Here is a 14278-nt window from a genome sequence, read left to right as displayed (position 1 = left end):
TGCCACTGTTGGGGCCTGAGAGAATTTTGGTGGAGTCGGGGAGGGCAGTAGAGGGCACTGAATGCTAAGTAGCAGAGGGATGACAGAGACGAATTCTGAATCATTGACAGGTGAGCATAGTTTTTGGAAACAAGTGTTACCTATTCAGTAAGACTTTTATTAAAAATCCAGTTAAGATATTGAAAATAAGGCCCTGAGATACTGTAGATTCATCATTATTAGTAGAAAAATAAAGAATGATATATATTATGAAAGTGCAAAAAATAGGAAAGATTTAAATACATCTATCCACGTTCAATATTCAAAATGTATTTTTGTGAATCTGATATTTCATAGATTTTGTTTCAGTTGATACACCAGGAATATCTCAAATGAAAGTATATAAAACAGGAATTATCTCAAATGAAGAAGTTGAGTTTTCAGGCCAAAAGCTGGCAAAGGTTGCCATGCAGTCTTCAGGCTCATTGACCAAGAGCCCCTTCCTCCACCTGAAACATTCCCTGAAGATCCTGTAAATAAATACAGGTAAATAAATTTGACTGTATGGACTTCATAAGTGCCTTCTTATATCAATTTATGTGCATGTTTTAAAGCTTTATATCATACAGTGTGCAGTTATATCCTTTTTAAGTATGATTTGTAATCATTTAATAAAAGGTCTATTAATTCCCTATTATGTCATATGATTTGTAGGAGGTATTTTGATCAGTTTTATTTATAATAGTCAAAAGTGTCAAAATCCTGGCCTCTGTGGAGTCCTGCTGGGAGAGAATATGAAGCAAGCCACAGATGGCCTAGAATAGAAACTGGAAGGAAGCTACATTGGGCTTCCTGCTATCTGAATCACCAAGTTCAGGAACTAAGTATTTACTAGTCTTGAGTACTTATTAGTTCAATTCAGGCTAACAGGAAGTCATTGATGAGAAAGTAGATGGAACAGAAATCAATGTAGGCTGCTTTTGGAGGGACTTTCATCCCTCGTGGAGAGGCATTTCAGCATAATGATTACAAACATGGACTTTAGTTAGAGCCAGAGTGTTTGAAACCCACTTCTACTACTTACCCATTTGTGCCTGTTTCTTCACCCATAAACAGGGATTATGCTGGTACTTATTACAACAGAGTTGTTGCAAATATTAAATGAGTTAACATACAAAGAGCATTTAGACCAGCACATAGGCATAATTGTATAAGTATTAGCTTCATTATTATAGAAGCCAAGAATATTTTAGATAAAAGCAAGGGTGAAGCAGAGATCAGGTCCTGCCCAAGCCTAATTTGCTGATTCTGAGAAGGGACTAGATAGCATCAAGAAATATGAAAATGGTGGCACTGAGGATTTTTTAGCTTTGAAGTTATGCAAGAGGAATACTAATCATTCCTTAATGTGAAACTATCCAAGAGATATTACCCTAATTTAAATTTCAGTTATAAACCGGTTTGATGATGGCCTTTGGAATAGAGGGGTGTGTGTGTGTGTGTGTGAGTGTGTGTGTGTGTATTTAAAAATCCAGTCAATGGAAAAAGGTTGAAGATGCAGCTGCGTGCACGCTCTTTGAAATAAGCATCTTCTAAGTGAAAACAAAACTGTGAAAACAGCCTCCCAGGGAGCAGGCTGGAGTTGAAGTACACAGTGTTGGTGATCCACCGAGACCCTTCAGACCCCTTTTACCATTTTTGTGCACCTCTCTGCTCTTGCTCCCGATGGCCAGCCCTTCTTTAGAAGACTTCCCTCAGTCAGTGAAGCTGCTTCCCACCCCCATCCCCTGCACATGTTGATTCAGAAATGCCTGCAACTTTACCTCTCTCTGGATGGTGCTTAGCTGCTGGGCAGAGGAGTATGAAAGCCAAGCTCCTCTGCCTCACGTTATTCTCTAAGTTCCCCTATGGGATCAGGCCACACCTATCTTCCGCAGGACTTTTGTCCAATATTGCACCTTGTTTGGCTTCCTCTCCTTCCCTATTCTTCCTTCATTTCCTTACTGATTTCCCTTGGGAGGAAAATAATAAATAACAAATCACTTGCACATGAATCCTTGTCTCAGGGTCTGCTTCTGGGGAACCCACCTGCTATGATCTGAATGTTTGTGTTCCCTCAAGATCCATATGTGAAAATCCTAACCCCAAGGTGATGGTTTTAGAAAATGGCACTTTTAGGAAGTGATTAATGCACTTAGTATACTTATAAAAGAGACCCCAGAGAGCTGACTAGCTTCTTCTACTATGTGAGAACACGGCAAGAAGGCACCATCCATGAACCAGGAAGTGGGTCCTCTCTAGACACAGAATCTGCCCGTTTCTGGATCTCAGACTTCCCAGCCTCCAGAACTGTGAAAAATAAAATTCTGTTTTGTAAGCCTCCCAGTTTATAGTATTTTGTTATAGCAGCCCAAACAGACTAACACACTGACAAGATAGAAGTGAAGTACTTTTTGTCTTCTTTTATAATAAATGATTAGTAATTAAGGCACACTCTGGGATCAGGAAATCTGAATTCAAATCTTGCCCTTAGCTGTGCTAACTTCTATGAGCCTGCTTTCTATCTTTGAATGTTTTCAGTTTAAGCAGTATTTTATTTCTTCTTAATACAACCAAGAACTGTCTTAGATTTTGAGTTACCTAGGTAGGAGAATGAACTAACTTTTGCCAAACATTGGGCACAGAGCTAGGTTCCATTGATGTGTGTTCATTTAATCTTCACAACAACCAGAAGGGGCATGTATGCTCATCCCTGTTTCACAGCGAGGAGTTTGAGAATCAGAGAAGTAATTTGTCCAATACTAAACTGAATGAGTATTTAAATGCAGGGTTATGTAGAACATAGAGTTATAAGAAAGAATCACAAAAACGGTAAAAATTCCATTATATGTAACTTAATTATATAAAGAAAATCTCTATGCAAATTTGCAAAGTTGACTGCAATTAAAAGTTGAGGAAGTGCAAAGATATATGAAGGATATAGGATGTCTCACTAAACATCCTACAATTCAAAGTTGCAAGGAAGAGAGAGAAAAAAAGGAGCAGATGAAGAATGAATTACTAAATATAGGTGGCTGGAAGGAAAATCAAAGAAGGGTGATGGGAGGTGACTCTCACTGTTAAAATATGGTGGGAAATCAAATGAATGAGGTCAAGGAACCATTGGAGGAATGAAGAGAGACTTCTAAGGAAAATAGTGGTGAACATCATTTTCCTGAGATAGGGGCCAGGAAAAACCCTTTGCAAGTTCCAATCAGCATGATTGCCAGGGTACACTGAACAAGAACGCAAGTGTGTTAGTTCAGATCCTCTAACAAGCCAACACCTGGAACAGGATTAAACATGCAAGGAATTGATTAGAAGGAATGCCTGTGTGAAAGGAAACAGCAGGTAGAGCAATAAGACTCCATTGCAAGCCTAATCTCAAGCAAAGAAGAGAGGAGAGAAGATTGCATGGAAGCATCGTAGAAATACAGTGCAGTCTAACGAAGGTTCAACAAAGTTAGCAGAAAGTCCTTGAGCCTAAGTGGACACTGGTAGGAGTCCCATGGCTCTATGAATGAGTCTGCCTTTGTATCCCCACTACACTGCATCACTGGCAAGGAGCAGCCCATGGGAAGTATAGCCTCAAGCCTCAAGCAAAGGTACCCATGCATTTCAAAACTTAGTAGCTGGTGCCATAGGCCAATTACAAATGGCCTTCTACTATGCCCTGTGGTAGAAGGTCTGGGAGGTGCATTCTCATGGCCTCTTTATCAAGTTTCCAAAAAGTCTTTGTTTGAAAGCTACAAGGCAACATCCCTTTTATTCTCAATGTTTCACAGAAAAATAATGCATCTAGTCACCTTTTATTGAGCACTCATGTGCACCAATCACTGTGCTAAGCACTTTATATATTTTTTCTTTTAGAGTCTTCACAGCACATTGAGGAAGATGTTATTACCACTTTACAAATGAAGAATCCAAAGCTTGAAGAGGTTAAAGGACTTCCTCAATAATGCAAAGATAGTAAGGGGTAATGCCAGGATTCAACTCAGACACACTGACTGCTGTTGCAGACCTCCATGTGATAACTCATAATAATAACGCCAACTATGCTATTAGGTAGGATTGTTGTGAATACTCATTGAAATCGTTCATATAAAAGCCCATCACACCTTGCCTGGCCAGGTAGCAAGAGCTCAAGGAATGCTGTGATTATGCAGTAGTTGTGCCAAGATGCAGATCCAGCTCTGATTGATGCCAATATCTGTGCTCTTGGCCACTGATGCTGAACAGCCATCAGTGTAACTTCAGTGTTTCCATCAGATAGTATTGGGAACAGCTGAAAGGCATTAAAAAAGAAAGAGGAGGACTGGAACGAAACATTTTTTCAAGAATTAGTTTCAGTCACACAGATAGAATTCAATGATAGGAATTGAATTGAATTGAAACGTAAGGAATGACTTCCTTTGATTCCCTGAGGAAGAAAGTCACACAGGTGTGGCCCATTTACTACTTCTTCATAAATAGAAATCTGTCAGATTTATGAGACTAAGTGCCAATGGGAGAAAACAAAGAAAAAATATGTTTGCAGAATGCATCTGGATTTCTGCTTATGACCAAGATAGGGTAACAGAAACAAGGTTTACCCTCCGATATGGTTTGGATCTGCATCTCTGCCCAAATCTCATGTCAAATTATAATCCCCAGTGTTGGGAGAGGGGCCTGATGGGAGGTGATTGGATCATGGAGGTGGCTTTCTCCCTTGCTATTCTTGTAATCGTGAGTTCTCATGAGATCTGGTTGTTAAGAAGTGTGTAGCACCTCCCCCTTCTTTCCCTTCCTCCTGCTCTGAACATATGAAGACATGCCTGCTTCCCCTTCAACTTCCACCATGACTGTAAGTTTCCTGAGGCCTCCCCAGCTATGCTTCCTGTACAGCCTGTGGAACTGTGAGCTAATTAAACTTTTCTTTATAAATTACCCAGTTTTATATATTTCTTTATAGCAATGCAAGAACTAATACACCCTCCCACCAGAAACTAAAAAATCAGAAAAAAAAAAATGAAACAATGGTTTTTCTATTGGATTCTAGCAACACAGGACAGTGTTCCCTGAGAGTGGGAAACAAATAAAATGAGTCCTATGGGTGCCCCAGATTACTGCCTGAAGAGAGGAAACCCAAGTGGGGAGCCTGGTGGTCAATCAGAGTTAAGAAGCTGGAGCTGGTCATCTGGAAAAACCAAGGCAGCTGGAATTTGCAGAGAAGAATGCTGAAGAAAGGGAGCTTCATAGAGAACTCCAGTGATCTGCAGAGAGTCCCCCTCATGTCTCCAGCTTAATAATGTTCACTGCATGCCTGTGAGGCAAAGGTTGACGGATAGGCAAAGAACCATATGAAAGGAACAAAGAAAGCAAATACTGGAGCTCACACAAGACAGGGAATAGTTCAGGTGTCTCCCAGCAGGAGTGGAAAACTTCATTCATGAAGCATTGGATAGAGAGTACTCAGAAGAGTATTGTTTGAGTAATGGGGCAAAATTAGCCGTAAACTAAAGGCTGCTCTCCTCCCAAATCACAAAGCTTAAAAGTTTGAAAGGCTCAGACTATTTTCGTAACTGCATCCCAATAAAACTCAGATATTTACAGGAATACAAAAATATCAATAACCCCAACAAGATAAAATTTACAATGAACAACATCCAATCAAATATTACCAGGTACACAAAGAAGCAGAAAAATATGACAAAACATAATGAAAGAAAAAGTTAATCAATAGAAATTGATCCAGAAATGATGGATCTACAACTGATAGAATTTGATCCAGAAATGATGGATCTACAACTGATAGAATTAGTAGACAAGGACATTAAAACTATATTGTAACTCTATTTCCATTGTAACTATATTCCATATGTACAAGAAGGCAGGAGAAAGATGAAACATTTTTAATAGAGATTTGGATATATTAAAATGACCCAAATCCAACTCCTAGAAATAAAAAGTACAATGTCTTAAATAAAAATTCCATCTGTTGTATGAGATTAACAGCACATTAGACACTGTATGGATACAAAAGTATGGATTTGCCCACATTATTGTGTGTATCAATAGTTCATTCATTTTATTGCTGAGAAGTTGTGACTGTACCACAAAAGAAAGGACTAATGTGAAGACACAGCAATAGAAACTCTCCAAAATGAAACGGAATAAACTGAAAAAAAAAAATGAACAGAGCATCACTTAACTGTGAGACAATCTTGGGCAGCCTAACATACATGTAATTGGAGTTCCCAAGGATGGGAGAGAACATAAAAAAACATTTAAAGACATAATGGCTGAAGAATTTTTCCAAATGTGATGAAAACCATAAACATATATAGCCAAGAAACTCAACAAACCTTGATGTGATTTGGCTATGTCCCCACCCAAATCTCACCTTGAATTGTAATAATCCCCACGTGTAGTGGGAGGGACCCGGTAGGAGGTAACTGAATCATGGGTGTGGGATTGTCCCTTACTGTTCTTGTGATAGTGAATAAGTCTCATGAGATCTGATGGTTTTATAAAGGGGAGTTCCCCTGCACATGCCCTTCTGCCTGTGCCATGTAAGATGTGTCTTTGCTCCTCCTTTGCTTTCCACCATGATTGTGAGGCCTCACCAGCCATGTGGAACTGTGAGTTAATTAAACCTCTTTTCTTTATAAATTACCCATTCTCGGGTATGTCTTTTTTTTTTATTTTCATTTTTTTTAAGACAGAGTCTCGCACTGTCGCCCAGGCTGGAGTGCAGTGGTGTGATCTCGGCTCACTGCAAGCTCCGCCTCCTGGGTTCACGCCATTCTCTTGCCTCAGCCTCCCCAGTAGCTGGGACTACAGGTGCCTGCCACCATGCCTGGCTAAATTTTTTTTTTTTTTTTAGTAGAGACCGGGTTTCACCACGTTAGCCAGGATGGTCTCGATCTCCTGACCTCGTGATCCACCCGTCTTGGCCTCCCAAAGTGCTGGGATTACAGGCGTGAGCCACTGCGCCCAGCCACTCGGGTGTGTCTTTATTAGCAGTGTGAGAATGGACTAATACAAACTCCAAGCATAGAAAAAGGCATCTTATAGTACAATGCAAACAAACTTAGAATAGAATGATTACACAACCATAAACGTTGCTTAGATAAGGAGATAACACCCCCAAATTGTATTCCAAACAAACAAGAGCTTTAGTGCAGGAAGTCAGGTGAGGTTTGAACTCTCCATCCAATCCATTTAAAAAACAGATGAGGTTATACATAAGGAGGAAGCAATCAGAAGAATCAAAGAGATTTAAGAAAGAAAAAAAAAGCTTACATACTAGATCAAAGTGTAGAATAAAGCCAAGGTGAAATCAGCAAAAAAGGATGACCTAAATACCTCATATGATAGTTATGGCAAACTACCTTATATAATAATGATGGGAAGACAATATCCCCCTCCCTAACCTATTTCTAAGCTTTCAGATCTTTACTTTTTTTCTTCTTTTGAGACAGAGTCTCTCTCTGTCACCCAGGCTGGAGTGCAATGGCGCAATCTCGGCTCACTGCAACTTTGACCTCCTGGACTCAAGTGGTTCTCCTGCCTCAGCCTCCCAAATAGGTGACTACAGGCATGCACCACCATGCCCAGCTAATTTTTTTGTATTTTGTAGAGACGGGGTTTTACCATATTTCCCAGGCTGGTCTCAAACTCCTGGGCTGAAGCGATCCACACTCCCTCAACCTCCCAAAGTGCTGGAATTACAGGCATGAGCCACCATGCCCAGCAGATCTTTACTTTCAGTTGCCCCAGGCATAACCATAGTCCCAAAGTTTCTTAATTCTGTACATCCATTTTATGATCCTACTTCCTCCATCACCCCATCTCGTTCCTCACCTCAAACTCCTTCGTTGCTTATATTTTCAGTCTCCATTGATGATATCACCCTCTTCCACCAGGCTAGCTTGTTCTCATCTCTATTTCATCTGGATTCCTCAAAACCAATCAATCACCAAATCCTATGGAATTTACCTCTGAAATATCCTTAAAATCAGGCACTTTTCTCCCCTTCTCTCTATTAACATTACTTCAGGCCTTCATTATTTCTTCCATTTTAATTTAATATAAATCTTTTATTAAAATGAAGCATGCATATAGAAAGATACATTAATCGTAAGTATAAAACTTAATTTTTTTTTACAAGGTGAATACACCTATGTAAACACCACCTAATCAGTATGTAGAATTTTTCTATTATCCCAGATGACTCCCTGGTGTACCTTACCAATAATTACCTGTGTCCCCAAAAGATAACCATTATTCAGCAACCAAATACCACAGATTCGTTTTACCAGTTTTTTGAACTTCATGTAAGTTTAAATTAATTTTGAAGTAGAATTATACAGTATATAATCTTGTGTCTGGCTTCTTTAGCTCTATTTTTTTTTTTTTTTTGCAAAATTTATCCCTGTTATTAGGAGTAGCAATAATATCCGTATTTCATTGCATGTATGAATGTACCACAGTGCATGTATCCATTGTATGGTTGGTAGGCATGTTTGAGGCCATTATGAATAAAGTTGCCATGAACATACTTGCAAATGCTTCCTGGTACATTTATATGCACATTTGTTTTGGGTATAAAACTAGGAATGGGATTACTAGATCAAAGGATATGCAGAGGATCAGCATTCACAGATGCTGCCCAACAACTTTCCTAAATAGTTCTTCAATTAACATTCCAATGAGTGGTGTATGAGAGTTCCAAGTATTTCACATCCACTAAGACACCTGGCACTGTCAGTTTTTGAAGTTTCTCCCATTCTGGTTGTTGGGTAATGACATTCATTGTGGTTTTAATTTGCATTTCCATGATGTTAAGCCACATTTCATAAATTTATTGACCATTTTGAAAACCCTGATATGTGAGGTCTTGCTCAAGTCATTTGGCTTTTTTCATTGGACTGTCTGTATTTTTCTTAATGAGTTCTAGGAAGATTTTGAAAATATATAACTTAGGGGTATATGTCTTTTAGATTTTTCCTTATTCTGTGGCTTTTTCAATCTCTTAATTGGATTAGTCAGTGTAAAATTTATTACACTAACTGCACAGATTTTAAGTGTACAGTTCTGTGAGTTTTGACAAATGTATATATATGTGCAACCCCAATCATGATCTAGAACATTCCCATCATGTCAGAAGATTCTCTCATGCCCCTTTACCATGACTTATCCTCCCTCTCCTCCAAGCAACACCTGATCCAATTTCTTTGACCATGGCTTAATTTTTGCTGTTCTCAAGCCTCAATTAAAAGAATTGGAAAGTATGGATTCACCCACATTATTGTGTGTATCAATAGTTCATTCATTTTATTGCTGAGAAATAGTCATTTGTTTGACTGTATCATAAATTTGCTTATCCATTCACCTATTGAAGGGCATGTGGGTTGTTTCAGGTTTAGACTATTATGGATAAAAGTGTTATATTCATATACAATATTTTTTATGAATATTTGTTTTTATTTCCCTCATTTCCCTAGCAGTGGGATTGCTGGACCTAAGATAGGTGGTTCCCCCTGCCCCTTTCTTTTTGTCTGATGGAGTCTTGCTCTGTCATCCAGGCTAGAGTACAGTGGCATGATCTCGGCTCACTGCAACCTCCACCTCCCAGGTTCAAGCAATTCGCATGCCTCAGCCTCTCAGGTAGCTTGGATTACAGGCATGCGCCACCACGCTGGGCTAATTTTTGTATTTTTAGTAGAGACGGGGTTTCACCAGGCTGGTCCAGGCTGGTCTTGAACTCCTGACCTCAGGTGATCCACCCACCTCCACCTCCCAAAGTACTGAGATTACAGGCGTCAGCCACCACACCGGGCCAATAGGTGTATTTATAACTTTATGAGAAATCCCAAACTGTTTTCTAAAGTTTTGTAACATTTTACACTCCCATCAGCAATGTGTGAGCTCCACATTCCCTGCAACTCTTATATTGTCCATTTTTTAAGCACTAGTCATTCTAGTGGGTATGACATGTTCTCAGTCAGGTGTGGTGGCTCACGCCTGTAGTTCCAGCACTTTGGGAGGCCAAGGCAGGAGGATTGCTTACGCCCAGGAGTTCGAGACCATCCTGGGCAAAATGGCAAAACCCTGTCTCTACAAAAAATACAAAAATTAGCCGGGCTGTAGTTTCAGCTTCTTAGGAGGCTGATGCAAAAGGATTGATTGAGCTCTGGAGGTCTAGGTTGCATTGAGCTGTGATCATGCCGCTGCACTCCAGCCTGTGTGATGGAACGAGACCCTGTCTCAAAAAAGAAAGAAATGTAGTCTTATGGAGATGTATTTCCATTTCACTGACAACCAATGACGCTGAACACCTTGTTACTTTTCCATGTATTTATTGGCCATTCCTATATTTTCTTTTGTGCAGTATCTATTCAAGTCTTTGCCTATGTATTACTGCCTGTTTATACTTTTATTCTTGATTTTTAAGAGTTCTTTATGTATTCCGGATTTAAGATGCACATGCTCGCACATACACATGTGCACACACACACAGAGCAAGAGAGATAATATTTTATTCTTGTTTATTCTGCCTTTTAATTATCCTAATGATGTATTGTTCTGAAGTCTTATCAGTTTTTCTTTTTATAGATAGTGTTTGTGTCCTAGCCTAAAAATCGATGGCAGTGGCAAGAGCACAAAGACATTCTCCTATGCTTCTGGAAGTTTTACCATTTTATCTTTTACATTGAGGTCTACTTCCCATCTTAAAAAATGTTGTGGATGGTGTGAGGCAGAGGTCAGGGTTAATTTATTTTCCCATGCAGACATACAGATGTACCACATCATTTGTTGAAATTGTTCTTTTCCCATTGATTTACTTTGGCACTTTGCCAAAAATTGATTACCATGTAACTATGGAACAACTTCTAGACACTTTTTTTTTTCTTGGATCTACTTGTCTCTCCTTATACTAATGCCATATTGTCTCAATTATAGAAGCTTTAAAGTATACCTTGAAATCAGGTGTGTGAATTCTCCAATAAAATTTTTTTTCAGAATGTGCATATTCTAGGTCTTCAGCAATCCATAAATATATTAGAATTGGCCTCTAGATTTTTTTTAAAGCATGCTGAGATTTTATTTGGAATAGTGTTAAGTTTATATTTGGGAGAGAATAGATGTCCTAACAGTCTTGAATCTGCCAACGTATAAACATGGTATATTTCATTATTTATTTAGATATATTTTATATTAGATATATTTAGATATATTTTACTTATTCTCTGCAATGTTTTGTAGTTTGTGCTATACTAGAGGTAATAGCCAGTTCAATAAGGCAAAAATACATAAATAAATAACGTAAAAAGTGAACAGAAGACTTCATATTAGTAGTTGATATGTTCTTTTATGTAGAAAAATCATAAGAAAAAAATTTTAACTTACTAGAATTAATAAGTGAATTTAATGAGGTCAGAGAATACAAAGCTGATATACAAAAATTGCCTACCACACATTTGGTTGAATTTATTCTTAATATGTTATGATGGTTGATAGTATTGTAACTGGTATTGTTTTGAAATTTAATTTTTTCAGCTTTCTGTTGCTTTATAGAAAAAATTAGCTCTGTACTTTTTCACCTGCTATCATCTCATCCTGAATGGAATTGTACCCAAAGTCACCCACCTCACCTCTTTTTCACTCATTACTTGCTTTCAAGACCAGCTCAAAATTCATCTCCTGATTGGAACCTTCTCCAACCTTCCTAATAGCTCTATGCTACATGCTTACGAAAATATCCAACAGGAGAAATAAATGAATAGGAGTCAGTCAATAGGGAACACTTAGTATATACTTAAGTCACATTTAAGATTTGCTATTTGTTATTACTTTAAACTCAATAAGGAAAAATTAAAGAGAATAAGATACATTTAACACTGCCCATAAGGAAAGTGATAAAGATGTTGGAGAAAGCTGGAATCTGTTTTTAGTTTAAATTTTCACTCTCCTGATTTTTATTAAAATCATGTTAACAGGCTCAGTCTTTAAAAAGTATATCATGACTGCCAGTGAATTATAACATTCAACACAGTTATATCTTTCTTCAAAAAGTAGAAGTATTCAATTGGGAAAAATACAAGTAATTATGAGGAATAAAACTTAGTACTTCAAATTTTAAGAGATAAATTAATATTTTATACTTATTTATTTCCATAATAAAGTAGTTCACTCACTAGCTTAGCATTAATCACCAAGCTCTAGTTATACTATCTACTATGCTAAAAACTTAAGCTTTCACTGTATATTAAAGATCATCATTTTAAAAGGTAATATTTTAAATTTAAACTATAAATTACTTCTTATGAAGATGAAATGCATTTTAAATTGAATGAAATTGCAGCTAAATGACAAAATGTTTATGTGTTTCAATTAAGAAAAATACAATATAAAAAGAAATATATTTTAATGAAGCACTATGAATGCTCTTCAAAGAACCATTGAAAATAAGGAAAACATGTCATTATACATTTGTCCAAACTCATAGAATGCCGAACACCAAGAGTGAACCTGAATGTAAACTATGGACTCTGGGTGATAATGATGTGTCAGTTAGGTTTATTGACTGCAACAAATGTACCACTCTGGTAGGGGATGTCAATAATGGTGGAGGCTATGCATGTGTGGGGTGGGGAGACATGGGGAACCTCTGTACCTTCCTCTCAATTTTGCAGTGAACCTAAAACTGCTCTAAAAAAACAAAGTCAAAAAACATAAGGAAAACAAATAACATCATTTTATCTTTCCCTTTCTCATTCCTACTTTCTGGATAATACCTCTTCCTGGTGATTGCCTTCCTTTCTGTGGTGATTGCCTTCCTTTCTCATCTAATTCTTCTAATTGCATGAGGAAATGAATATAAAAGCCTTAGCACAACCTCTACCCCGATAAGTGCTCAAAAATGGCAGCTATTATTCATTATATAAATAATTTCCAGGCACCAGGACTTCTGTTAAGGAACTCATGGATAATATAGAGGTTTTAATTTAATCAATGGGGGAAAGGAAAACTAGAAAAATCCATAGGAAAATTCACTAAAAACATAAAATCCATAATTTGCTATATCCATCCTAACACAATGTTTAAATCTTTTTTCTTTTTAGTAAGTTTTAAAATGCCTAAAAAAAGCTATTTGTGTTACAGGTTAGATATTTAAACTAACCCTTTCATTTCTATTGTGTGACCTACTAAAACTGCAAAACTCAGTGACACATTGAGATGTGTCCAGCATTTATATTATGTATATATATTATGACCAGCATTTATATTATGTGAAGTGACACATAACAGAGCACGAGTTATTTTGAAATAATTTATTGTTAATATGTTGAATGTTAAGGCGCTTGGTATGAAAAAAATAGCCACTGGAAGCATTAAGTATAAAAGAACCATAACTAGCTAATTTTGTATTAGTCTATGGCTGTGTAATAAATTACTGTAAATCATAACAGCTCAAAATAGCAATAAATATGTATTAACTCCCAGTTTCTGCAGGTCAGGAATTTGGGAACAGTTAGCTGAGTGGTTCTGGCTCAGAGTCTCTCATGAGGTTGTAGTCAAGATGCTGTCCAGGACCACAGTCACCTGAAGGGTTGGACGAAGCTTAGGATTGTTCCCAAGAAAGCTCACTCACCTGCTGCTGTTTCCCAGCAGGAGGCTTCAGATCCTCCTCTTCTGGGCTTCCCCATGGGCTGCTTGAGAATCCTCATGATATAGTGACTGGCTCCCCATAAAAGTGAGAGACCCAAGACAGAGCAAGACAGAAGCTGCATTGTCTTTTCACAGTCTAGCTTCAGAAGTCACACATGGTTATTTCCACAATATCCTATAGCTACAAAACTCCATCCTAATCCAAGTAGGAGGGTACTGCAAAAGGGCATGAACATGAGGAGTTCAGGATCACTCAGGGCCATCTTGGAGGCTGGCTACCATGAACCTTAATTGGAATCTAATGCTTAAGTACTACATCAGGAGAGTATCAGTTTTTAAAATTATATTACGTTCAATTCAACAAAAATATTGTTTTGCTCTTTTAATTTTTACCTATATATAAACATAAATCTATATACTTGTATTTATTTATTATTAAATTCACTAAAAACATAAAATCCATAATTTGCTATATCCATTCTAACACGTTTAAATCTTTTTTCTTTTTAGTAAAAGTTTTAATATGCCTAAAAAAAGCTATTTGTGTTACAAGTTAGATATTTAAACTAACCCTTTCATTTCTATTGTGTGACCTACCAAAACT

General features: G+C 37.5%; 2 long non-coding RNA genes across 2 annotated transcripts in view; one reads left to right on the top strand and one right to left on the bottom strand.

Annotated features, from left to right (window-relative positions):
• Nucleotides 1–287: 287 nt before the first annotated feature.
• The window catches only part of LINC00189 (long intergenic non-protein coding RNA 189), a 94712-nt gene continuing 80721 nt past the window's right edge, over nt 288–14278 (bottom strand). Inside the window, exon 2 of the long non-coding RNA NR_027072.2 lies at nt 288–509. This is a non-coding gene — a long non-coding RNA (long intergenic non-protein coding RNA 189). The remainder of the gene's footprint in view (nt 510–14278) is intronic.
• Nucleotides 413–4944, top strand: LOC124905007 (uncharacterized). Its single transcript, XR_007067841.1, has 2 exons — nt 413–525; nt 3889–4944. It is a non-coding gene; the product is annotated as an uncharacterized LOC124905007 (long non-coding RNA).

The sequence above is a fragment of the Homo sapiens genome, chromosome 21, assembly GCF_000001405.40.
Source record: "Homo sapiens chromosome 21, GRCh38.p14 Primary Assembly".
Taxonomy (NCBI): Eukaryota; Metazoa; Chordata; class Mammalia; order Primates; family Hominidae; genus Homo; species Homo sapiens.
The sequence above is the reverse complement of the archived record's forward strand: the minus strand, read 5'-3'. Positions and strand labels throughout refer to the sequence as shown.